The following is a 27,338-nucleotide window of genomic DNA, read 5'->3' as shown; positions in this document are numbered from 1 at the left end:
ATTTGTTACGGCTTGAGCTGAGCTTTCGCTCACCATCCACAACTGCTATTTGCCACCATTGCAGACCCGCCATTGACTCCCACCCCTCTGGATCTGGCAGGTTGTGCTCCTGATCCAGCAAGGCACCCATTTCCACTCCTGATCGGGCTAAAGTCTCACCTTTGTTCCTGCACAACCAAGTGCCGAGGTTCATCCTAATCAAGCTGAACACTAGTCAGTGGTTTCCATGGTTCTCTTCCATGTCCCACGGCTTCTGATAGAGCTATAACACTCACCACATGGCCCAAGTTTCCATTCCTTGGAATCTGTGAGGCCAAGAAGCCCAGGTCAGAGAACAAAAGGCTTGCTGCCATCTTGGGAGTGGCCTGCCCCATCTTGGGAGCAGCCCACCATCATCTTGGGAGCTCTAAGAACAAAGATCCGCTGGTAACATTTGGTGGCCTCGTATGGGGATTCTCCAAAGCAGTGAGTAATATCAGACCACTTTTGCTTGCTATTCTGTCCTCTACCTTAGAATTGGAGGAAAATACCGGGCACCTGTCGGCTGGTTAAAAACGATTAGCATGGCCACCGGACTAAAGACTCAGGTGTGAGGCTTCCTGGGAAAAGGCTTTCTAACAACTTCTGGGTTGGGAGAGTTGGTCTGCCTGGAACCAGCTTCCACTTTCACAATTTTCCTAGGGATGCCAAGGGTCAACTAGAGGCAGAAAGCTGTCGTCCTGAACCCCTGGCATTGGCCGGTCGAGATCATGGTGCAGGCTAGAAGTCTCTACTCAACAGTCGCCCATGTGTGCGCCCCTACCTGTCCTTCTGACCCATACCTCTTGGGTCCTAACCATGACTTTCTTGAAAGTGTAGCCCCAAAATTCTCCTTACCTCTGAATCTACTTCCTCCAATCCCTGCCTCCTAGATACTAATGCTTCAGACTTTCACTTTCTCTCCCAAGTATTAGAGTAGGTTGTATCTCCAAAGGGATCTAAGGAAGCGCTATGCTGCATCCTTAGGCATCTAGGCTATGAAACCAGGGAATCTTGTCCCTGGTGCCCCTCCCAATTTAGGTATATAACTTTTGACATGGGCAGTTATGTGGGACCCGTTCTCCACCACTCTTGCCAGGCCCTGAGTTTGTAAATGGCTAGGATTCCTCTCTCATTGTTTAAGATGCTCTCCTCCCCTAATTTCTACCCAGCATCCCCCGACCCACCACCCCACAATGCAATCTTCAATACAATCTTCAAGCCTTGGCTCCTTGGCCAGGGCCTTAGAACTGATGACCTAGTACTTTAACTTCTGGAACTGGGTCTACAACAACATAATAGATCAGGATGAAAGCAAATTGAGTAAACTAAAGGGAGGCACATATTCCTATAGTGGCAAATGGGGTCAACAAGCGAACTTCCTTCTGCTGTTTTCCAAAATCCATCTACAGAGACAGAGAGGAGACAGAGAGAGAGACAGAGATGAGAGAGAGAGAGAGACAGAGAGGAGAGAAAGAGAAAGAGGCAGAGAGAGAGAAAAGGGAGAGAAAGAGACAGAGAGGAGAGAGAGAGAGACAGAGATGAGAGAGAGAGAAAGAAATAGAAAGATAGAAGTAGTAAAGAAAAACAGTGTGCCCTATTCCTTTAAAAGCCAGGGTAAATTTAAAACCTATAATTGATAATCGAAGGTCTTCTCTGTGACCCTATAATACTCCAATACTACCTTGTTGTCAGTGTAAACAAGGGCATAGCCAGAAACACTGAGACCACTGACAACCTGTAGCCTTCCTATCAAAAATTCTTAACCCAGTAACCCACAAATGGCCCAAATGCATTCAATCAGTAGCGGTAACTGCTTTGCTAACAGAAGAAAGTAGAAAAATAACCTTTAGAGGAAACCTTATTGTGAGCACACATAACCAGTTCAGAGCTATCCTAAGTCAAAAAAGCAAAAAGGTAGCTTACTAACTCAAAAATCTTAAAGTATCGGGCTATTCTATTAGAAAACGGTGATTTAACACTAACCACTGAAAATTCCCTTAACCTAGCAGCTTTCCTAACAGGGGATTTAAATCTTAATTACCATACAAAGGTCCTACCAGACCTAGGAGGAACTCCCTTCGGGACACAAGGATAGATGCTTCCTCTCGGGTGATTGAGAAAAAAACCACAATGGGTATTCATTAATTGATAGTGAGACTCTTGTGGAAGAAGAGTTAGGAGAATTCCCTAATCGTTGGTCTGTCAAACGTGTGAGCTGTTTGCACTCAGCCAAGCCTTAAAGTACCTACAAAACCAGCAAGCCCATCTTTTTCTCCTTGCTCTCCTCGTAGGAAAAAGGCACATAAGATAAACAGGATCCCTCTCTCATATTTCGTACCCAAAAGGACTTAATCTGGGGCAACAAAAAGCTTAATATCAATATTTAGGGCATATTCCTACAAAAGTAAAGAAGGACAAAGACCCTAGTGGGCAAAGAACTCCATCTCACTCCTGACTCAAAAGGTTACCTTCACCCTCTCTGAAACGAATTTGCATAAGAACTGTTGTTTATGGGAATGCATCTTGATGGGCAGCCAGGTTGTTATGAAAGACTCAGGAACTCAGCCCAGCTCTAGGACTCACCCCTGAGCACAAAGGCAATGTTGGGCACGCTGGTAAAGGACCACTAGAATCCAGCAGCCCGGATCCCTTTCTTTGTGGTCAAGAAAGGCGGGAAAAGGGGTGCAGGACTGCTACATTGGTGAGCACAACTAATCCGATAAGCAGAGGTCCATGGGTGGTTACACACCGTGGAAAGGACCATAGAGAACACTGTAGAACTAAGCTCATCAGAAAATGACTAGGGGTGCTGGCAAAACATTCCCCCCAAGGCAAAAACACCCCTAAAATGTATTCTGGAGAATTCGGCCTTGTCAGAGTGTATGTACCTTTTTCCCTGTCAGACTTGAAGCAAATTAAAATAGACCTAGGTAAATTCTCAGATAACCCTGTTGGCTATATTGATGCTTTACAAGGGTTAGGACAATCCTTTGATCTGACATGGAGAGATATAATGTTACTGCTAGATCAGACACTAATCCCAAATGAGAGAAGTGCTGCCATAACTGCAGCCTGAGAGTTTGGTGATCTCTGGTATCTCAGTCAGGTCAATGATAGGATGACAACAGAGGAAAAAGAACAATTCCCCACAGGCCAGCAGGCAGTTCCCAGTGTAGACCCTCATTGGGACACAGAATCAGAACATGGAATTGGTGCCACAGACATTTGCTAACTTGCTTGCTAAAGGACTAAGGAAAACTAGGAAGAAGCCTATAGATTATTCAGTGATGTTCACTATAACACAAGGAAAGGAAGAAAATCCTACTGCCTTTCTGTAGAGACTAAGGGAGGCATTGAGGAAGCAAACTCTCTGTCACCTGACTCTGTTGAAGGCCAACTAATCTTAAAGGTTAAGTTTATCACTCAGTCAGCTGCAGACATTAGAAAAAAACTTTAAAAGTCCACCTTAGGCCCAGAGCAAAACTTAGAAACCCTATTGAACTTGGCAACCTCGGTTTTTTATAATAGAGATCAGGAGGAGCAGGCAGAACAGGATAAACGGGATAAAGAAAAGGCCACCACTTTAGTCATGGCCCTCAGGCAAGCACGACTTCGGAGGCTCTGGAACAGGGAAAGTCTGGACAAATTGAATGCCTAATAGGGCTTGCTTCCAGTGCGATCTACAAGGACACTTTAAAAAAGATTGTTCTAATAGAAATAAGCCACCCCCCTCGTCCATGCCCCTTATGTCAAGGGAATCACTGGAAGGCCCACTGCCCCAGGGGACGAAGGTCCTCTGAGTCAGAAGCCACTAACCAGATGATCCAGCAGCAGGACTGAGGGTGCCTGGGGCAAGCGCCAGCCCATGCCATCACCCTCACAGAGCCCCGGGTATGCTTAACCATTGAGGGCCAGGAGGTTAACTGTCTCCTGGACACTGGCGTGGCCTTCTCAGTCTTACTCTCCTGTCCTGGACAACTGTCTCCAGATCTGTCACTATCCAAGGGGTCCTGGGACAGCCACTAGATACTTCTCCCAGCCACTAAGCTGTGACTGGGGAACTTTACTCTTTTCACATGCTTTTCTAATTATGCCTAAAAACCCCACTCCCTTGTTAGGGAAAGACATTCTAACAAAAGCAGGGACCATTATACACCTGAACATAGGAAAAGGAACACCCGTTTGTTGTCCCCTGCTTGAAAAAGGAATTAATCCTAAAGTCTGGGCAACAGAAGGACAATATGGACGAGCAAATAATGCCCGTCGTGTTCTAGTTAAACTAAAGGATTCCACCTCCTTTCCCTACCAAAGGCAGTACCCCCTTAGACCCGAGGCCCAACAAGGACTCCAAAAAATTGTTAAGGACCTAAAAGCCCTACTCCTAGTAAAACCATGCAATAGCCCCTGCAATCCTCCAATTTTAGGAGTAAAGAAGCCCAATAGACAGTGGAGGTTAGTACAAGATGTCAGGATTATCAGTGAGGCTGCTGTTCCTCTATACCCAGCTGTACCTTACCCTTCTACTCTGCTTTCCCAAATACCAGAGGAAGCAGAGTGGTTTACAGTCCTGGACCTTAAGGATGCCTTTTTCTGCATCCCTGTACATTCTGATTCTCAATTCTTATTTGCCTTTAAAGATGCTTCAAACCCAATGTCTCAACTCACCTGGACTGTTTTACCCCAAGGGTTAAGAGATAGCCCACATCTATTTGGCCAGGCATTAGCTCAAGACTTGAGACAGTTCTCATACCTGAACAGTCTTGTCCTTTGGTACATGGATAATCTACTTCTAGCTGCCTGTTGAAAAAACCTTGTGCCATCAAGCCACCCAAGCGCTTTTAAACTTCCTCACCACTTGTGGCTACAAGGTTTCCAAACCAAAGGCTCAGCTCTGCTTACAGCAGGTTAAATACTTAGGGCTAAAATTATCCAAAGGCACCAGGGCCCTCAGTAAGAAATGTATCCAGCCTATACTGGCTTATCCTCATCCCAAAACCCTAAAGCAAATAAAAGGTTCCTTGGCATAACAGGCTTCTGCCAAATATGGATTCCCAGGTACGGCAAAATAGCCAGGCCATTATATACACTAATTAAGGAAGCTCAGAAAGCCAATACCCATTTAGTAAAATGGACTCCTAAAGCAAAAGCAGCTTTCCAGGCCCTAAAAAAAGGCCTTAACCCAAGACTCAGTGTTAAGCTTACCAACGGGGCAAGACTTTTCTTCATATGTCACAAAAAACAGAAATAGCTCCAGGAGTCCTTACACAGGTTCAAGGGACCAGCTTGCAAACCATGGCATACCTAAGTAAGAAAATTAATGTAGTGGCAAAGGGTTGGCATCATTGTTTACGGGTAGTGGCGGCAGTTGCAGTCTTAGTATGTAAAGCAGTTAAAATAATACAGGGAAGAGATCTTACTGTGTGGACATCTCATGATGTAAACAGCATACTCACTGCTAAAGGAGACTTGTGGCTGTCAGACAATCGTTTGCTTAAATATCAGGCTCTATTAATTAAAGGGCCAGTGCTGCAACTGCATACTTGCGCAACTCTTAACCCCGCCACATTTCTTCCAAACAATGAAAAAGATAAAACATAACTGTCAACAGGTAATTGTTCAAACCTATACCACTCGAGGGACCTTCTAGAGGTTCCCTTGACTAATCCCTAACTCAACTTGTATATTAATGAAAATTCCTTTGTAAAAAAAGGACTTCAAAAGCGAGGTATGCAGTGGTCAGTAATAATGGAATACTTGAAAGTAATCCCCTCACTCCAGGAACTAGCTCTCGGCTGGCAGAACTAATAGCCCTCACTCGGGCACTAGAATTAAAAAAAGGGAAAAGGGTAAATATACATACAGACTCAAAGTATTCTTACCTAGTCCTCTACGCCCACACAGCAATATGGAAAAAAAGGGAATTCCTAACTTCTGAGGGAACACCTATCAAACATCAGGAAGCCATTAGGAGATTATTATTGGCTGTACAGAAACCTAAAGAGGTGGCAGTCTTACACTGCCGGGGTCATCAGAAAGAAAAGGAAAGAAAAATAGAAGGAAACTGCCAAGCGGGTATTAAAGCTAAAAGAGCCACAAGGCAGAACTCTCCATTAAAAATGCTTATAGAAGGACCCCTAGTATGGGGTAATCCCCTCTGGGAACCCAAGCTGCTACTCAGCAGGAGAAATAGAACGGGGAACCTCACAAGGACGTAGTTTCCTCCCCTCAGAATGGCTAGCCACCGAAAAAGGAAAAATACTTTTGCCTGCAACTAAACAATAGAAATTACTTAAAACCCTTCACCAAACCTTTCACTTAGGCATTAATAGCACCCATCAGATGGCCAAATCATTATTTACTGGACCACGCTTTTTCAAAACTAACAAGCAGATAGTCAGGGCCTGTGAAGTGTGTCAAAAAAATAACCCCCTGCACTGCAGGCCATACATTTCAATCCCTGTATCTTTTTTTTTTTTTTTTTTGAGATGGAGTCTCGCTCTTTCGCCAAGGCCAGACTGCAGTGGTGCAATCTCGGCTCACTGCAAGCTCCACCTGCTGCAATCCCTGTATCTTTAACATCCTTGTTAAGTTTGTCTCTTCCAGAATCAAAGCTATAAAACTACAAATTGTTCTTCAAATGGAGCCCCAGATGCAGTCCATGACTAAAATCTACTGCAGACCCGGACCAGCCTGCTAGCCCATGCTCCAAGTTAATAACATCAAAGGCACCTCTCCAGAGGAAATCTCAACTGAACAGCCCATACTACACCCCAATTCAGCAGGAAGCAGTTAGAGCAATCATCGGCCAATCTCTCAACAGCACTTGGGTTTTCCTGTTGAGAAGGGAGACTGAGAGACAGGACTGACTGGATTTCCTAGGCCGACTAAGAATTCCTAAGCCTAGCTGGGAAGGTGACCGCATCCATCTTTAAACATGGGGCTTGCAACTTAACTCATATCTGACCAATCAGGTAGTAAAGAGAGTTCACTAAAATGCTAACTAGGCAAAAACAGGAGGTAAAGAAATAGCCAATCATCTATTGCCTGAGAGCACAGGGGGAGGGATAATGATCAGGATATAAACCCAGGCATTTGAGCTGGCAATGGCTACCCTCTTTGGGTCCCCTCCCTTTGTATGGGAGCTCTGTTTTCACTCTATTAAATCTTGCAACTGCACACTCTTTTGGTCCGTGTTTGTTACGGCTTGACCTGAGCTTTCGCTTGCTATCCACCACTGCTGTTTGCCACCGTTGCAGACCCACCACTGACTTCCACCTCTCTGGATCCAGCAGTGTGTTCACTGTGCTCCTGATCCAGCGAGGCGCCCGCTGCCACTCCTGATCAGGCTAAAGGCTTGCCATTGTTCCTGCACGGCTAAGTGCCCAGGTTCATCCTAATGGAGCTGAACACTAGTCACTGGGTTCCACGGTTCTCTTCCGTGACCCATGGCTTCTAATAGAGCTATAACACTCACTGCATGGCCCAAGATTCCATTCTTTGGAACCTTTGAGGCCAAGAACCCCAGGTCAGAGAACAAGAGGCTTGCCGCTATCTTGGAAGGGGCCTGCCACCATCTTGGGAGCTCTGGGAGCTAGAACCCCCCAGTAACACTTTCACTTAGGCATTGATAGCACCCATCAGATGGCCGAATCATTATTTACTGGACCAGGCCTTTTCAAAACTATCAAGCAGATAGTCAGGGCCTGTGACGTGTGCCAAAGAAATATTCCCCTGCACTTCAGGCCTACATTTCAATCCCTGTATCTTTAACCTCCTTGTTAAGTTTGTGTCTTCCAGAATCAAAGCTATAAAACTACAAATCATTCTTCAAATGGAGCCCCAGATGCATGACTAAGATCTACTGTGGGCCCCTGGACAGCCTCCTAGCCCATGCTCCTATGTTGATGACATCAAAGGCACTCCTCCTGAGGAAATCTCAATTGCACGACCCCTACTATGCCCCAATTCAGCAGGAAGCAGTTAAGAGCGTTGTTCGGCCAACTTCCCCAACAGCACTTGGGTTTTTCTGTTGAGATGGGGGACTGAGAGACAGGACTAGCTGGATTTTCTAGGCTGACTAAGAATTCCTAAGCCTAGCTGGGGAAGGTGACTGCACCCACCTTTAAACACAGGGCTGGTAACTCAGCTCACACCTGACCAATCGGGTAGTAAAGAGGGCTCACTGAAACACAAATTAGGCTAAAAGCAGGAGGTAAAGAAACAGTCAAATCATATATCGCCTGAGAGCACAACAAGGGGACAATGATCGGGATATAAACTCAGGCATTCAAGCAGGGAGTGGCAACCCCCTTTGGGTCCCCTCCCATCGTATGGGAGCTCTGTTTTCACTCTATTAAATCTTGCAACTGCACGCTCTTCTGGTCCGTGTTTGTTACGGCTTGAGCTGAGCTTTTGCTCACTGTCCACCACCGCTGTTTGCCGCTGTTACAGACCTGCCATTGACTCCCACCCGGGTCCACCACTGCTGTTTGCCACCATCTCAGACCCACCATTGACTCCCACCCCTCTGGATCTAGCAGAGTGTCTGCTGTGCTCCTGATCCAGCAAGGTGCCCATTTCTGCTCCCGATCGGGCTAAAGGCTCACCATTGTTCCTGCACAGCTAAGTGCCTGGGTTCATCCTAATCAAGCTGAACACTAGTCGCTGGGTTCCATGGTTTTCTTCCGTGACCCACAGCTTCTAATAGAGCTATAACACTCACCGCATGGCCCAAGATTCCATTCTTGGAATCTGTGAGGCCAAGAACCCAAGGTCAGAGAACAAAAGGCTTGCTGCCATCTTGGGAGCGGCCCGCCCCATCTTGGGAGCTCTAAGAACAAAGACCCACAGGTAAGAGCGTCAGTATTCCCACTGATTAATTTCAGCATTGCAAAAATTTAAAAATTCTTTCCATATAATTAATGTTTATTTTTGGAATATTACTAGCTAGGTATTTGAGTTTAGAAGGAAAAACTAGTTTGTACCATATTTTGCTTTATAATAATTTTTTGAAGTAAATATTCATTGTTTTTAATACCATTGAATTTAAATTGATTTTTTTTTTCCCTTGAACTAGGGAATACAACTTCCTACCCTTCATATTTCAGGAGAATCCTAAGACATAGCTAAGAATGAAAGCTCATCAAAGTTGTGGTCTATGATCTAAGAGAGCATTTGATGCTCAATAGCTACTGTGGAAGCAAAGTCCTGGGATTGGCTGCAGCAATTGCTAGGATCTTGATGACAATTTTTTGGCCTCGAAGTATGAAAAAAAAAAAGAAAAAGAAAATAAAACATCTCTGTGGAAGTTAACTTCTATGAGAAATGTATGATTTGCTGGTTTTGAAAAGAATTCAGCTGTGTGCAGTGGCTCATGCCTGTAATTCCAGCCCCTTGGGAGGCCAAGGTGGGCAGATCACTTGAGCCCAGGAGCTGGACACTGAGCCTGGGGAAAAATTTTTAAAAATTAGCCAGACATGGTGGTGCATGTCTGTGGTCCCTGCTTCTCAGGATGCTGTGGTGGGAGGATCGATTGAGTCCAGGAAGTTGAGGCTGCAGTGAGCTCTGACAGCACCACTGCATTCCAGCCTAGATGACAAAGGGACATCCTGTCTCAAATAAATAAATAAATAAATGAAGATAGAGAGAAGAAAAAAGAATTTACATTTAACATATTTTCCTCCATATCTGTATGTAAAGATAATATTCTACTAAAAGGCCAGGTGAGTTTAGGGGTTTTATTAGAATGCTCTCCTGTTTAGATATCGTAGGTTAAAATGTTAACATATTATGACTGTTCATTTGAGAAACTTAAGTGTTGCTTATTTTTTTTTAACCAAAAATTTAAGGAAAAAGAAGAAAAGCACATCCCTAAAGATATACAATGTTTCTGCAGATTGGTGAACCTGAAATTGTTGCTGATTGTATTATAAGTAGTAATAGAAAGCATAAAGATTTCAGCTGTGTTTGTTTCATTTGTGCTTTGATTATTTGGATCTCTGGTATTACCAAGAAAAATATAAGCATCTAATATGAATTTGTTGGGTGACAACTGTCTAATTATAAAACTTTCCCAATCTTAATAATTGTGGTACTAATGTGATTTATTTGTTGTGTTGTTACAGTTGCTGGTAATATTGAATTGAGTTTCAGCAATTTGGAACAGTGCTTAAGTGGGATTTATGATTATGTCCATAAATCTGTGACCAGGGTCCTCTGAGGAACTAGGTCTACATTTTATTAGCAGACAAATAATCCCCAGAACTGAAAAACGCCAGGAACCAAATGAATGTAACTGGCTTTTAAAGAACACTCCAGCAAACAGCTGCAGAATAAATATTATTTTAAATGCACATGGAGAGTCATTAAGACAGACCATTGTCCTGGGTCAAAAACAAACCTTAACAAATGTTTTCTAACCACAATACAATTAAACTACAAATCAGTAATAAAAAGAAAACTGGGAAATGTTCAAATACTTGGAAATTAAACAACACACTTCTAAATAAATTATGGGCGAAAGAAGTCTTTAAGACTGATGGTTAGATGAGGAGGTTTTAGACATGGTAACTAAAGCACAATCCATAAAAGAAAAAATAAATATACTGTGCATCCTCAAAGTTAAAATCTTGTGTTCTGTGATAGACGCTAATAAGAGAATAAAAAGATAGCTACAGACTGTGAGAAAATATTTTCATATCATTGATTCAACAAACAACTTGTACGCTGAAATGCATAAAGAACTCTTAAAACTGAAAACATGACTCACGCCTGTTATCTTAGCACCTTGGGAGGTCAAAGTGGGAGGATATCTTAAAGTCAGGAGTTCAAGACCAGTCTGGGCAACAAAGCGAGACCCTGTCTGTTAAAATTAGCAGGAGATTTGCTTGAGCCCAAGAAGGTCAAGGATGCAGTGAGCTATGATTGTACCACTTCACTCCAGCCTGGCTAACGAAACAAGACTTTGTCTCTTTAAAAAAACAAAAAACAAAAAAACAAAAAGCTCCAAAATCCCCAAAAAACAAAACTCAACAATTAAAAAACAAAAAATCCAATTAAAAAAAAGTAGTCAAAATATTTGAGCAGACATTTCTCTAGAGCATGGATGGTACATAAGCTTATGAAATGTTTAATGCTTAAGTTCATTAGCCATTAGGAACATGCATATAAATACCAAAATAAGATACTTATACAAACATATGTGACTAAAAAACAAAACAACAAAAAACTGGTAATACCAACTGGGGGTGAATATGGGGAACAACAGACATTCCCACACATTACTGGTGGCAATGCAAAATGCAAAATGGTACAGCCACTCTGGAAAAGTTTGCCAGTTTCTTATAAAGTTAAAAATATACCTATAATATGATCCAGCAATCAACTTATAGCATTCTAAAACGACTTGACAAACTGTGGTTTGAGTTCCAAATCAAGCCCATGACCTGTTTTTGTATGGCCTGAAAGCTAAGAATGTTTTTACATTTATAAATGGGAGAAGAAAAACTAGGAGAAGACAAAGGAAAAAAAGAAGAGAAAGAATATATGAGACCTGGAAAGATGCAGTAGCTCACATCTGTAATCCTAGCACTTTGGAAGGCCAAGGAATAAGGACTGCTTGAGCTTTGTTCAAGATTAGACTAGGCAACACAGTGAAACCTCATCTCTACAAAAAGTTAAAAAATGAGACTGGTGTGGTGGTGCACGCCTGTAGCCCTGGCTACTCAGGAGGCTAAGATGGAAGAATTGCTTGAGCCAGGGAGATCAAGGCTGCAGTGAGCTGTGATTATGCCACTGCACTCCAGCCTGGGTGACAGGGCAAGACCTTTTCTAAAAAAATAAAAATAAAAAAAGAATACATGAGACCTGTCAAGAGTGAAATATTTACTATCTGATCTTAAAAAAAAAATTTAGATAAAAAATTTACACTCACACAAAATCCTGTACATGAATGTTAATAGTAGCTATTCATAATCACCAAAATTGGACACAGCTCAAATGGCCTTTAGTGGACAAATGAATAAACTACTGTAGTCCATTCTTGGGGTAGAATACTATTCAGCAATAAAATGAAACACTTCATTGACATAACTTTGCTTAATCTCAAAGGCATTTCCTTAAGTAAAGGAAACCAGTCTCCAAAGACTAAATACAGTATATAATTTCTTCATATGTTATTCTGGAAAAGACAATGGGGATATAAAATAGATTAGTGGTTATCAGGGATTAGAGGTATAGTGGAGAGATTGGTTACAAAGGGCTAGCATAAAGGAGTCTTTTGGGGGTTATGAAATTGTTCTATATACTGAGAGAAGGTGTGTTAATATAATTCTATACATGTGTTAAATCTCAGACTGTACAACAAAATATTCCAATTTATGGAATGTGTATTTAAATATTAACAATATCAATAATAAACTCTCCTGATGAACAAGTTATTTCATACTTCTGTCATTAGGAAAGAGAACATTCTACCAATCCTTCTTAATGGGGGATAAGAGCAGATCTTAGGATGAAATTAAAAAATAAAATGCTGGGAACATCATGGTCCAGCATCACTTGTTAAATAGAAGTATGAACAGAAAAAGGTGTGTAGTGACAGGGTGTCACTATGTTGCCCAGGCTGGTGTTGAATTCCTGGACTCAAGCCATCCTCCTGCCTCAGCCTTCCAAAGAGTACTGGGTTACAGGGGTGAGCCATATACTTGGACAAAAAGAAGCAGTTTTAGCTGTCTGGCTTAAATAATTGAACTATGGCATTAGTTTAAAAAAGAAAATATATATTCTTCCATCTCTCTCTATATATGGAAACATACATATTTTCATTTTAAACCTATTTTCTATTAAACATATTTTCTTAAATACATATTAAGTTGTGGCATTCACATGCCACAAGTTGATACTCGCATACTGGCTACAGAAAAACTGGTTAACCCTAAAGAAGGAGTTCCTGAAAGGGGGTACGAGGCAGTTTTCCCAAGTGCTGGCAATGTTATGTTTCTTGATCTAGGATCTTGTTACACAGAGGTGCTCATGTTGTAAAATTTGTAGAGATGTATGATTTCTGCATTTTACTAAATAAAAAAGTATATTCTTTTTACTATTATTCAGAAGGTAGTGAGTGAAGATTTTTTTGTGTTGCTATGTACCTCATAATATTAAATTTCCTGGTGGTGCACTGAGGAAATATTCATGTCCTTTTTCCAATAGGGATGCCCCATACAAGGCTATGCTCCCAACAAGCTTCTTGGACTTTGAATATAATTCCTATAATTTCAGGAAGAAGATGGAGAAAAATGTAGGATCACTACAGTCTACTTGCACACACTCCTTAGATACTCTTGCCTAATTTTGAACCCATTAGTTCTCTCTGAGGTCTAGATTGATGAGTGGTATGGCATCTGAGGGAGAGACACTTCGTATTTCGAGGATTTCAAAAGAGATTTTCCACGCCTTTGTGGATAAAATTCCTTGAGGAAAGAGTTCATATGGCAAGACAGAAAAGACCAAACATTGTCCCAGGCAAAGGTGAAAGTGTACTCTCCTTGTAAGAATCTTTCTATTCCCAGTCCTTTGTCCTGTGGCTGAGGTATGTTATGCCTGGTATCATATTGCCCAAAAATATGGAAAAGTTGGTTGGGACCTTGAGATTTCTTTGTAAAATCTCAATCTGGCTAATGTTGACCTTAGACATTGGGGCCAATATATCCTTAGAGAGTAGGGAAAGATTGTCTTCAGCAATTTGCATTATCTTAGAATATTGGGCTCCATGAGCTGAAAAAGGTGGGAATAGACAACAGATCCAGCATGCACTCTGCTTGGCTGAAAATCACATTCACCTCTGTTATCTGTCTGTCTGTCTCTTTTTTTTCCCATACCATCTTCTCAATGCACAATCATATTCAAGCCCCCACCTTGCTTGAAAAAAGCATTCATTCATTTCCTTTTGTTCCTTGTTATGTTTCCTTTTACAGCAAGGTTTCTTGGAAAAGAAGCCTAAAAATCTCATTTCCGATACTTTACTCCTTCAATGACATCTAGAAATGTACATAGTTTCCCTGCCTGTCATTCCAGTGAAGCTGTTAAAGTTAAGACAATTTAATAAAGCTCTCCTGACTGCTAAATGAAAGGCTTATACAGTCTTTGTGATAGCTGATGATGGCAAGCCCTCTGATTTCTTTGAATATGTCTCTTCCCTTGGTTTTAGAACACGACACTTTCCTTGTTCTTCTGTGTCTCTGGCTCTTTCTAGAGTTCTTTCTTTGTCAATGCCTAGAATTTTGTTTCTACCACCTTCTTCTCACTTAGGTATGATGCCAAGATAATATCATCCGTACCCACAGTTTCAACTATTACCTAAATGCTGATGACTGTCAAATTTCTACCTTCTAACTAAACTCAACTGCTAGTTGTACCCTACATGCATTTCATTTTTCCTTTACAGAAATAGAATTGTTAGCTTTGCATGTGGCCACCAAGAACAAAAATTGTGTTTTAGACTCAGTCTTCTTTGCAGATAGGCAGGGCCATGACCAAACACTGGCCCAGGGGCTTAGGTCTATATATGCGTTAAAACTCATGAGGCAAACTGAAACCTTTCTCAAGGGAGAGTGCACACACATTATTTGTCTTTTCTTCTTTGTCACTGCCTGATTCTCACTGCTTGTAACAGCTGCCACTTGGACTCGGAGGTCAAGGCCACAGGTGACAGGGCAACAAGAGATAAACAAACAAATAAAAAACTAGTTCCTCTTTCAATGAATAGTTTCCAAAACAAGTTAATTGTATCAGTGAATATCACCACTATTCACCTAAAACAGAAATTATGGCTCATGGTATGCCTCTCCTACTACTAAATCAGGTTTATTTAATGAGTATTTCATGTATTTACTGAATATTTTCCTTTACCTCCACTTCTATTACATTTACTTCTTCAGACTTACTGTTAGGTACCCACACGCACTCATTTACTCTTCACCCTATTATACCAATCATCCTAGTACCCTATATTCCCTATTCCGTACCTTATTATTTACCATTTACCAATACCCAGCTTTTTACATGACATTCTTTGATCATGTAAAACTATTCTTAGGGATCAAAGTAACTATGCTTTCTCTTGTGTGTTTGCAAATGCTGTTCCCTCTTCATGATTGGACGTCACTCCACACTAAGGTCTGCCTAGGTGACTCCCACACATTCACAGAGAAAGAAGACAGTTCCTACACTCAGGGAGCAGACAGTCCAATGCAAATGAAATAACAAGGTTACAAATATGTCCACTAAATGCAGAATTTAAGTAACATGAAAGGCTCCCAATATTGGCCAGGCATGGCGGCTGACGCCTGTAATCCCAACACTTTGGAGTCTGAGATGGGCAGATCACTTGAGCTCAGGAGTCTGAGACAAGCATGGGCAACATGGTGAAACCCTGTCTCCACCAAAAATACAAACAGTTATCTGGGTGTAGTGGTATGCATCTGTAGTCCCACCTAATTGGGGGGCTGAGGAGGGAGGATTCTTTGAGTTCAGGGGGTGGAGGTTGCTCTGAGTCAAAATTGCACCACTACACTCCAGCCTGGGTGACAGAGTGAGACCCCATCTAAAAAAAAAAAAGTCTCAATGTCTACAAAATTAAACTTTTAACTAAGGAATACTCTTAATTGTTTTCTTATGAAAGTTAGAGATTTATCAGACTATCAAAATTACAGTTATAAATACATGTCCTTTTATAGCTGGATAAAATCTTTTATTTAACATATCTTTATCTGTTGTTGAATAAAAGATTCTAGTTTATAGAGAAAAGTATGCTTTCCTGTATTTCATGCACTGATAACTCATATCTGTCACAGCCTTCTAAGCCTAAAAGCAGTTGAGTTTAAGAGGCTCTCTATTATGTTATATGGAAGCCCTGGAGACAAACTGAAGCATGATTATTTTGCTATGCCAATTTTATCTGAGTCCAAACAATTACATGTGCAAAATTATAAAAGATCTTGTTTGGATAACTTTAAATTTTATAAGTACTTACTAAAGTCTACTAAAGTTGGGTGTCAATTTACTGATCTCTCTCCTGGATGTGTGGTAAGATTGAAGGAGAGGGTTATTTGACTATGAAAAGAATATTGAAAGCAGCACCGTTTTTTTTTCTCCAAATATAGTTTAATAGTAAAAAAATTCTTTGAGTTAATAATCTTCTATATAGATCAAAATAACAGCAAGTTCAGTAGATTACTGTTTGCCTAGGCTAGAGATAAAAAAATGGAATGAAGAAATGTTCTAAAATTGGATTATAATGGTACTGTAATCATATGCAATTACTAAAAATTATTAAATTGTATACTTAAAATGGATGAATTTTATGGTCCATAAATTATACTTCAATTGAGTGATTTTAAAAAAGTAAAAGCAGGATTGAGTCAAGACACATGGGCTAGCAGTCACAATATTTGGAACCCATTTCTGGTTCTGCTATTAGCCAGCTATATTAACTGGACATTTTCACTTAAAATTCCTAAGATATATGAGAGAAGGAGTTTATATCCTTAAGAGAAAAAAAATGAAACATTACCACTTATATTTATTTTAGTTTAAAATTAAATGTATACATTATGAGCAACTTAAGACAAAAAGGAAAGCAATGACCAAGGAGTTTATGAAAACTATCTCCAACGGTTGTCTAAGAACTGCAAATTCAAAGAAGAATGGAATAATTATTTTATTATCTAATGAGCAAAGATTCTTAAAACTGCTAATCCTGCCTGGCATGGTGGCTTACACCTGTAATCCCAGCACATTGGTAGGCTGAGGCGGGAGGACTACTTGAGTCCAGGAGTTTGAGACCAGCCTGAGCAACATGGCAGAACTCTGCCTTGACAAAAAATACAAAAATTAGCTGGGCATGGTGGCACGCACCTGTAGTTCCAGCTACCCCAGGAGCTAAGGTAGGAGGATTACTTCAGCTTGGGAGGTCAAGGATGCAGTGAGCTGAGATCACGCCACTGCACTCCAGCCTGGGTGACAGAGCAAGACCCTGTCTCCAAAAAACAGAAACAAAAACAATCCTACTGATCCCCAAAGTTAGTGAGGCAATTGTCTTTACTGTTGGAGGAAATGTAAATTTGCACAACTTGTTTCTGGGATGGCAGTTTGACACTCTGAAAAAGATTGTCTTTGTCCTGTGTCTGTGCAAAAGCCATATATCTTATGGGGCTATCCAGTATGCTTTCAGAAATTTAGGTATGAGGATGTTTCAAACAGGAATATTTATTATTTTAAAAATTTTAGAAAGATATCTTTCCACATGTATGCCTTGCATTTCTCTTGCTTTTCTTTTTATTTCTTTCTTATATCTTCCTTTTTTCCTCCCTTCTTTCTTTTCTTTCCTTCTCTCTCTCTCTTCCTCCTTTCTTTTGCTTGTTTATTTTTCAGCTGTGCTCTTTAGGACAATGTTGAACATAAGTACAAAAGCTGATTAAAAATATTTTTGACCCCTTTCTCTGATAACATCTCAGGCACCATCTAAGAATAGAAAATGAAAGTACTTATTTTAATAAAATTTATATTAGAAACCCAGAGAAAACATAATATATAATAGAAAAACATCAAAAAAGTACAGGCTATGCCTGTAGACTTTCTTCAAGATTAAAAAAAAAAATCTCATATTGGGAGTTGTGATCCTTTCATTTGTTCAAAACTTGTTTATTTCTGTTCTGTTTTTCATTGTTCAGAACTGCTAAAGAAAGTTTATTTTCTTGGTGTTATGCTAGTCTCCAAAAATAATCCAACATGCTTTACCATTTTTAGATGCTCTTGGAAGGCTTTAATAAGATAGGGAACACTGGTTTCCTGATGAATTCACATCTTGTCAAAACAAAAAAGAAGGAAATTTCAACACCGTTGGGGGTCAGAACATAGTATTCTAAAATACAGTGCCTTGGAATGCTGAGTACTTGGAACTGAAGGAGATTTGAGAGGGCCTCAGAAACAAGGTCTTTCTGATCTTCTCCAATCCCCTGCCCTGTGTCCTGCAGCCAGGTGAGTCAAAGAAACTGAAATCCTCTCCTACAGCAAGCCTTAAAACCTAGAAAGCTCACGCACTGACCTTTTCCCTTCTCCCGGATAGACTTTCATATGACAGGTGTCCTGCCCTATATGCAGAGGGAAGAAATGCTACACCGAGGGAGCAAGAAGAATCCAAAAATACAGGACTTGCTGAGTCCCCCCGCCACTGTCTGTTGATTACGGTTAGATCATATTTCATTCCAATTCTATTTAGTCACATCTATTCATTTCTTTCATTCAACTTAGCATAAAATCTCAAGTTTTCCCTGGGTTTTTCTCTTGCTAACCTGTCTTTGTTATAGAAACATCAGCCATGCCCCTTGTGATGGTTATGAAAAATGTGTTATCTTTTTGCTCCTACATCATGTGCTCCTGAGTTGGTACCTCTGTTCAGCATAAACGTGGACCACGACCAGGCTCAGCTTCACCTGTGCTCCATGAGGCTCACTTCCTCACTGTGCTGTCATCTTTGTTCAGATGGCACCTCACCATATTTCTGTGGGTAAGGTCACACCCTTATCTTCACAGCCCTCATTATCATTTAGAGTGCTACATGATGGTAGAGCATAATTGTTTCTAAGTTTGGTTATTATCTGTTGTCATACTAGATACACGTTCAAGTATGCGACAGCTTTGCTCTTTGGTTCTCTGAACCGTTCTGACAGAAGTGTCTCGAGTAGGGTAACTGACTATTAAATATTTGCCGAATACATGAATCCTTAGACATTAAGATGCAACTGGCGTGAGAATAGTAAGAAGGGGAATTAATTGACCCAACTCTAGGATACCATCTTATCCTAGAGGATCTAGAATAGAAGGCTGGGCCTCACCTTAACAATCTGATTCAGTAATTCTGAGTTAGGACACAAGAACTTGTATTTTTAATAAGATCTCTAGTGAACCTCATGCTTTTGGTCAAGGGATCACATTTTGACAATCACTGATGTAGAAGAACACTTGGGGTTAATAAAGTTTTACATCATTCAAAATTATTAGAATAATTATTGTTATTTAGAGACAGGGTCTTGCTCTGTCACCCAGGCTGGAGTTCAGTGGTGTGATCATGGCTCACTGCAGCCTTGAACTACTGGGCTTAGGTGATCCTCCCACTTCAGCCTCCAGAGTAACTGGCAGTAAAAGCACATGCCATCACGCCTAATTAATTTTTGTATTATTTGTACAGATGGGGTTTTGTCATGTTGCCCAGGCTGGTATCAAACTTCTAGACTCAAGTGATCCTCCAGCCTCCGCCTCCCTAAGTGCTGGGATTACAGATGTGAGCCACCGTGTCCAGCAAAACTATATTTTTTAAACAAGCAAACTATTTAAATTCTTTATTAAACCAATTTCTATCTCTTATCTTTAAGAATCAGCAATGACTTATCCAAGGTTGTAATCCTTCAGTTACTTTCTATTGGATAACTAATCAAAATCAATATTATACCTATAATTAGGATACTAAGTCAACTTTTAAGTATAACAGAAGTGATTATATGTACAATGCTGCTTTTCTCTAAGGGGAAAACGTTTTTATTTTTGATAAATATTTAAAATGCTGTGCTAAAATGCACCTAAAATTTATTCTGTTAACAATTTTAAGTGTACAATTCAGTTAAGTACATTCACATTATTGTGCAACCAATCTCCAGAATTTTTCTACCTTGCAAAATTGAAATTTTATACCCATTAAACAATAACTCCTCATTTCTCCCTCTCCAAGTTCCTGACAACTACCATTCTACTTGGTTTTTATGAATTTGACCAATCTAGATACTTGGTATAATTGGAATTACACAGTATTTTTCTTTTTGCGTCTGGATTATTTCACTTGGCATGATGTTCTCATAGTTCATTCATGTGAACCATGTAGAGCATGGTTCTTTTTAAAACTTAATAAGGTTCCATCATATCTATTGATGATGGGTTAATTCCACCTTTTGGCTATTATGAATAATGCTATGATGAACATGAGTGTACTAATATCTTTTGGGGATCTTGCTTTTAATTCTTTTGGCAATATATCCTGAAGTGAGATTGCTGGATCATGTGGTAATTCTATTCTTTGGTTTTTGAGGAAACTGCCATACTCTTTCCTACAGTGGCTGCACCATTTTACATTCCCACTAAGAGTGCACAAGGGCTGTAATCACTCTATATCCTAGCCAATATTTATATCCTGCACTTTTTAATAGTAGTCATAGAAAAGGGTGTGAGGTGATATCTCACTGTGGTTTTGATGTGCATTTTCCTGGTGATTAGTGAGGTACAATGCTATTTTGTTGTTGTTGTTGTTGTTGTTGTTGAGATGGAGCCTCGGACTGTCGCCCAAGCTGGAGTGCAGTGGTGCAGTCTCCGCTCTCTGCAAGCTCTGCCTCCCGGGTTCAAGCCATTCTCCTGCCTCAGCCTCCCGAGCAGCTGGGACTACAGGCGCCCGCCACTACGCCCGGCTAATTTTTTGTAGTTTTAGTAGAGATGGGGTTTCACCGTGTTAACCAGGATGGTCTCAATCTCCTGACCTCGTGACCCGCCCGCCTCGGCCTCCCAAAGTGCTGGGATTACAGGCGTGAGCCACCGCGCCCGGCTGTACAATGCTATTTTTAAACTGGGTTCTGACTCAGTACAGGAGCCCTGTAGGCCAGAGAGCACATCAGGGCAGGGCCACCATCAACCAGACCTGACTTGTCTCATGTGGGTCCTCGCTGTTTCTAAAGGTTTCCACATTGTGTGATGCACATATCACCAAGCCCCTTATCTCCCATTTCCGTTAAGAATTCCTTTCCTAAATTTTATTTCCTCACAATTCACTCCCATAGCAGTATTTTATCCCTTACAATTCAAATAAAAATGTCCTTTTAATTTTCGATTCTAGAATGACCTAGAAGATTTTTCTTCTATGGTCTCAGATCACTTATAGCCTCATTTTATTTCGTCTCTTCTAGCTGTCATTTCCATCAATATCTCCCTCAACTTATACTACACAATTTTAAGTCAGATACAGGTATTTCTCTTCTTTCATTCTTCCAGAATTCTATAGGTTGTTGGGTACATAGCTGAAGACAAATAGGTGTTTTTAACATTTATTACATAGTATATATTAGTGTTATACAAACCAGACATCCTAAAATTGTATTAGCTGACCTTCATGGCTCCTGAGTACTGGACCCAAAATTGTACCTTATTTAATCTGAATAAAAATGGAATCAGACTATTATAAAGGATGCGAAACCCAGTTTGGTAGACTAATTCCATTCAACCTGGGAACCTTTTTTATTAATGTAAAATGGAGTAAAGCTAAATATGATGAATCATTTTTTATTGTTATACCTTTGCTACTTATGTTTTATTTTTTTAAATGACTTCCTCAAACCCAGAACAGAGTCAGATTACTACATTATTTTAAAATGTAGTATGTATTTGTTGGGCATTTGTTGTTTCTTTTCTTGGTAACTCTTACACTCGCCATCTTTACAGCATGCAAAGATGGCTATTCATATAACATCTCTTCTAATATATCCAGGTCACAAAACAATATTTTCTCTAAGACAAACATCATATTATTATAAACTAAGTGCCAGAATATAAGAGCTATTCTAACACTGCATTCTAAAATAATTGCTTTGAATCCCAAGTGCTTAGAGAACAAGTAAATGTATCTGCCTGTAATTTTCAATCAGTCACTCAATTGTTCAGAGAAGTAGTTGACAGTATAAGTACCCTGCATGTATTTCATTCAGAGGAGGGGAGAAAACAGATAATTTGAGGCTAAGGTAGGCTGACAGGTTGATTGAGAGCACCAGGGATCTTCTGCTTTTCAAACATAATTGCAACAGCTCTATTATGTAATACAACAATGATTTTCAAAGATTATAATAAACACATGCAGTAGCAAAAATAAATAAATAAATAAAATTTAAAAACCTTCCCAGCATTCTTACCTGGAGGCAGATCCTGTATTTTGGGAATATAAAAGCACTCCCTGAAGTGCCTCAGCTTATCTTCCTCATCTAGGTGGAGAGCCACCCTCTCATCCGTTGGGTGGCATTTGAGTTCAGCCGCAATGCGCTGCACTGTGTCAGCCGGCAGCTCAAGAGATGAAGGCTCCATTACAAGTTGTTCTCTAAAACTGAAAGAGAATAATAAAACATAATCTAGCCACCATAATTTTCCTGTAGAAAATGAGCCCTTTAGGTAATACACCTTTTGTTTTCACTAAGACTCCCTTTTCCCAACCTCAGGAATAATATACTTAACCAACCAGCATTAAACTCCATGCATGAGTTTTTCTCATATATGAAAAGAAGAAAATAGGCCAGGCATGGTGGCTCATGCCTGTAATCCCAGCACTTTGGGAGGCCGAGGTGGGCGGATCACTTGAGGTCAGGAGTTTGAGACCAGCCTGGCCAACATGGTGAAACCTCATCTCTACTAAAAAAATACAAAAAATGGCTCAAGTGATCCGCCCACCTCGGCCTCCCAAAGTGCTGGGATTACAGGCATGAGCCACCACGCTTGGCCTATTTTCTTCTTTTCATATATGAGAAAAACTCATGCATGGAGTTTAATGCTGGTTGGTTAAGTATATTATTCCTGAGGTTGGGAAAAGGTGGCATGGTGGCAGGCGCCTGTAATCCCAGCTACTAGGGAGGCTGAGGCAGGAGAATCGCTTGAACCCAGGAGGTGGAGGTTGCAGTGAGCTGGGATTGTACCACCGCACTCCAGCCTGGGTAACAGAGCAAGACCCTGTCTCAAAACACAAACCAAAAAAAAAAAAAAAAAAAAAAAAGGAAAAGAGAAACAAAATAATAGTAACTTAGAGATATTGAAAGGACTAAATTAGATAATAGTGCTCAGGACAGAGTAAGTTCCCAATAAATGTTAGCTCATTCCATTCTTATTATCTAGAAATATGTACCACACTTGTGGCTTCCAAATATATATAATGTCATCACCTTTTCCTCTAGGTATCTTATGAGGAGATAATGGTAAGGATGATCTTTGTCAAAGTGTCGAAAAGCAGCATCCCACTTAGCTTGTCTTTCTCCATATCCCAACTCCACTGTCCCACCCCCAGTGGTTCTTGGATCATGGTTTTAAAACTATGGACATATTGAACCTGAACAAAATCCTTTTTTGTGAGTGAAAACCATATTCATGGAAAAGGTAACTTTACTTAAAATGTTAGTATTTTGTTCATATGAATACCAAAGAGATTCATCCACCTGCTGCTGTTAGTAATTATAAATTTCTTCCTTTCAACACCATATTTATTATCTTAGAACAAACAGGATTGTGTGATGTTTCTTGAAACCACATTGTATTCTGTTTAATCATCATGCAACATTTCCCACTTTTTGGAAAAGGATAAATGACAATGGAGATTTAATCACATACGTTTTAAACTTCACCCAAGCTTGTTTGTTTATATTTCTCCTCTCCTAAGTTTGGTTTTTTGAACAAAATGATATTACAGGAAATAAAATTTCTTTGGGCTAGTTAGATTTACATATAGTTTTGCTGATTTCATTTAATTTATACATTTATTTACTCTTTCAACAAGTATTTATTTGGTACCTATTATGTGACTCCCAGTAATGGCAGGACAGCAGTGTATGAGAGAGTGCATAAGTGCCAACCCTTGTACAATTTATTTGTAAATGAAGAATAGAAAAACAATGTAGTTTCAGACTTAAGAGCTATGAGGAAACAGCAGAGTAATGGGACAGAGTCACTGGAGTGTGGAAGAGCTACCTTAAAGGGTCATGTTCATCCTTCTGAGAAAGTGATAGATGAGAATGTCTACATCATGTGAAGACCTGGACCTGGAGGAACCTGGCAACAAGTGCAAAGTTCCTGGGGTGGAAATGGGCTTGGCTTGTTCAACTAAATGCACTAGGGAGGGAAAAAGAGGGAAGGAGGAATGACAAACTGTGATATGCAAAAAACAAAGGCAGAAGGTAGTCATAAAGAAATTTGGGGCCAGGCGCAGTGGCTCACGCCTGTAATCCCAGCACTTTGGGAGGCAGAGGCAGGCGGATCACGAGGTCAGGAGATCAAGACCGTCCTGGCTAACACGGTGAAGCCCCGTCTCTACTAAAAATACAAAAAAAAAATTAGCCGTGCGAGGTGGCGGGCGCCTGTAGTCCCAGCTACTCGGGAAGCTGAGGCAGGAGAATGGCGTGAACCCCGGGGGGTGGAGCCTGCAGTGAGCCGAGGTTGCACCACTGCACTCCAGCCTGGGCGACAGCGAGACTCCATCTCAAAAAAAAAAAAAAAAAAAAAAAAAAAGAAATTTGGGAGCCAGAAAGAAAACTGAAATTTTATAAGTTTAATGGGATACCATTGGGGAGTTTTGAGTAGAAAAGTAATGTGATATAAATTTACATTAAATAAAAACCACTTAGCTCTGTAATGAGTTTTAAAAACAGTGAGATACCACCTCATGTCGGTTAGAATGGCGATCATTAAAAAGTCAGGAAACAACAGGTGCTGGAGAGGATGTGGAGAAACAGGAACACTTTTACACTGTTGGTGGGACTGTAAACTAGTTCAACCATTGTGGAAGACAGTGTGGTGATTCCTCAAGGATCTAGAAGCAGAAATACCATTTGACCCAGCAATCCCATTACTGCATATATACCCAAAGGATTATAAATCATGCTGCTATAAAGACACATGCACATGTATGTTTATTGCAGCACTATTCACAATAGCAAACACTTGGAACCAACCCAAATGTCCATCAATGATAGACTGGATTAAGAAAATGTGACACATATACACCATGGAATACTATGCAGCCATAAAAAAGGATGAGTTCATGTCCTTTGCAGCAACATGGATGAAGCTGGAAACCATCATTCTGAGCAAACTATCGCAAGGACAGAAAACCAAACACCACATGTTCTCACTCACAGGTGGGAACTGAACAATGAGAACACTTGGACACAGGGCGGGGAACATCACACACCGGAGCCTGTCGTGGAGTGGGGGGATGGGGGAGGAATAGCAGTAGGAGAAATATGTAATGTAAATGACGAGTTAATGGGTGCAGCAAACTGACATGGCACATATATACATATATAACAAACCTACACGTTGTGCACATGTACCCTAGAACTTAAAGTATAATTAAAAAAAAAAAGTTGAAAAGGGAGACCGATTAAGGATAACACAGTAGTTCAGGAGAGAAACGGTGGTGAATTAAATTTGGTGATGAGGGCAAAGGTAGAGAGAAGAGTGTGGATTTATGATGTAGTTTGGAGAAAAAGTAGATAGGACTGGTGGATAGATTATTTCTAGTGAGGACAGGAAAGGAGCTTTCTTCTAGCTTTGGGATATGGGCAAATATGTGAAATATGATGAAATAAAAATACCTGGGGAAGAAAAATTTTGAGGAGGGAAATTGGAATTCAGTTTAGCAGGCTGGTTGTGGTGGTTCACACCTGTTACCCCAGCACTGGGAGGCCGAGGCAGGGGATTGCTTGAAGCCAGGAGTTTGAGACCAGTCTGGACAACGTAGCAAGATGTCATCTCTACAAAAAAAAAAAAAAAAAAAGAAAAAAGAAAAGAAAAGCCAGGTGTGCTGGCACTGGCATGCACCTGTGGTCCTAGCTACCGAGGAGGATGGGGTAGGAGACCAGCAGTCTGAGGTTGCAGTGAGCTAATTGTGCCACTGCACTCCATCCTGGGCAACAGAGCATGACTGTTTAAAAAAAAATTATATTTAGGATATATTAAGTTTCAAATAAGTATTGAACATGCAGGTAGAAATGTCAAGCTGGTCATTGGATATTTGAGTGTATAACTTAGGGGAATATTGGATCACAAGATATGTTTAATATTTCTCAATTCAGACTGTACTTAATGTCTAGAACTTCTGGGGGCCCAAACTCACACAGAACTAAAGCTCTAGAATTCAATTCAATCTCCATTCTTCTGCCTCCCTTCACCTTTTACCTTAACTAACACACACAGTGTTTGGCAATAAAGAGTTGCATATCTGAGTGTTAGATAATGCCAGTAAAACAGACATTCTTCTTACACTCTCGATTTTCATTCTTGTACTTTTTGGGCTTCTTCTTTTCTCAACTGTCGATGGTCTCCACTGATAAGCCATTCTTTATATTCCTAGACAAAGATACCAAGGTTCACCATTGCATGTTTTTTACTTTGATATCAGTTGTGACTCCTAACTGCTTCAATCCATGGTTCTGTACAAAAGTGTAGGATTTCAACATTGATGGATGGTGCTTTCAATATCTGACCATAAGTATTATTTGTCCTCCACATGAAATTTTCTATTTCTGTGATTTTTCTCATGCCATTTCCTTTGCCTAAAATGTTTTGCTCCCCTTCAACTTGTTTGGATTCTAGCCAACCTTCAAAGACCTAATGCTCCAATGCTTTTTTCAAGAGGCCTGTTAGGATGTCTCAGGCAAAAGTAGCCCGTCTTCCTCTGAACACCAATAACAATTAAGAGCACACTTATGTACTTTACTTACGATAATAATACATTCTGCCAGGTACTATATTTATTTGGACATATGTATGGATAGGAAAGATCAAAAACATTTGCTATGCCTGAAACTTGATTCTAAATGGCTCCCCACACATAGCTTTCTGATGAAGGAAACTGCATTTTGAAGAGAGATCACTGTGTCTCTACCGCTTGGCATTATCAATTGCCTGGTCATAGTTTATTAGACCTCTGTTGGACACTTACCCACTAAAGACAATGTAGTTTCATCAAAGATCTGTGAATTATTTGCTATAAAAGCTCTAACCAAACAGTGATGATGTTTAGCTGAGTACATAATCAAATTCTTTCAGGAATCTGAGCTGTGGGATGTGCTTATTCATTCAGTTAGATACAGGAGCTAGAATTTAAAATAATCATAGATAGAAGCTATGAAATGCTAGGGTCTAGGAGGAATACTGTCATAGAATGACTCATTTTTCAAAGTAAAACAGAACCACTGATTGTTAAAGCATGAAAAGCATGAAGTGATTCCAGCAGCAAGTAAGAGTCACTTAGTTACACAATGGCAAGGGATTGAACAGCTATGTCTCCTGAAAAGGTGACAAGACAAGCCCATCTTGCAAGTCACTGAATCCTTCATGCAACATGCTATGTGCAAGTCTCCAGGGGACCCATCTTCTTGGCTATTCCTAAAATTCCATGAGATGTTTTTCTGCCTTACTATCAGATTAGTCTTACTACAAACATATTACTGATGGTAGCTGGACTGAGTTGC

The 27,338-nt window shown here is 40.4% G+C and overlaps 1 protein-coding gene across 8 annotated transcripts in view, besides 1 other annotated feature; it reads right to left on the bottom strand.

Annotated features, from left to right (window-relative positions):
* KYNU (kynureninase) overlaps positions 1–27,338 on the bottom strand; it is a 178,170-nt gene that overhangs the window by 148,278 nt on the left and 2,554 nt on the right. For 5 of the 8 annotated variants that reach the window (NM_003937.3, XM_047446250.1, NM_001032998.2 and 2 more), the window contains exon 2: positions 22,020–22,207. In NM_003937.3, coding sequence (NP_003928.1) covers positions 22,020–22,188 — 169 coding nt within the window. In that variant the 5' untranslated portion in view covers positions 22,189–22,207. Of the gene's footprint in view, positions 1–22,019; positions 22,208–25,457; positions 26,212–27,338 lie in introns of all 8 variants that reach the window. The other 3 variants (NM_001199241.2, XM_047446251.1, XM_047446252.1) reach the window with 2 other exon arrangements.
* Positions 23,668–23,717: a silencer, noted in NCBI's record as "silent region_11989". NCBI's record gives its function as "represses an Ori minimal core promoter by ATAC-STARR-seq in GM12878 lymphoblastoid cells {active_cell/tissue: GM12878}" and the evidence as "EXISTENCE:reporter gene assay evidence [ECO:0000049][PMID:35858748]".

This window comes from Homo sapiens, chromosome 2 (genome assembly GCF_000001405.40).
Source record: "Homo sapiens chromosome 2, GRCh38.p14 Primary Assembly".
In the NCBI taxonomy this organism is placed as follows: domain Eukaryota; kingdom Metazoa; phylum Chordata; class Mammalia; order Primates; family Hominidae; genus Homo; species Homo sapiens.
This window is presented reverse-complemented; position numbering and strand designations above follow the sequence as displayed.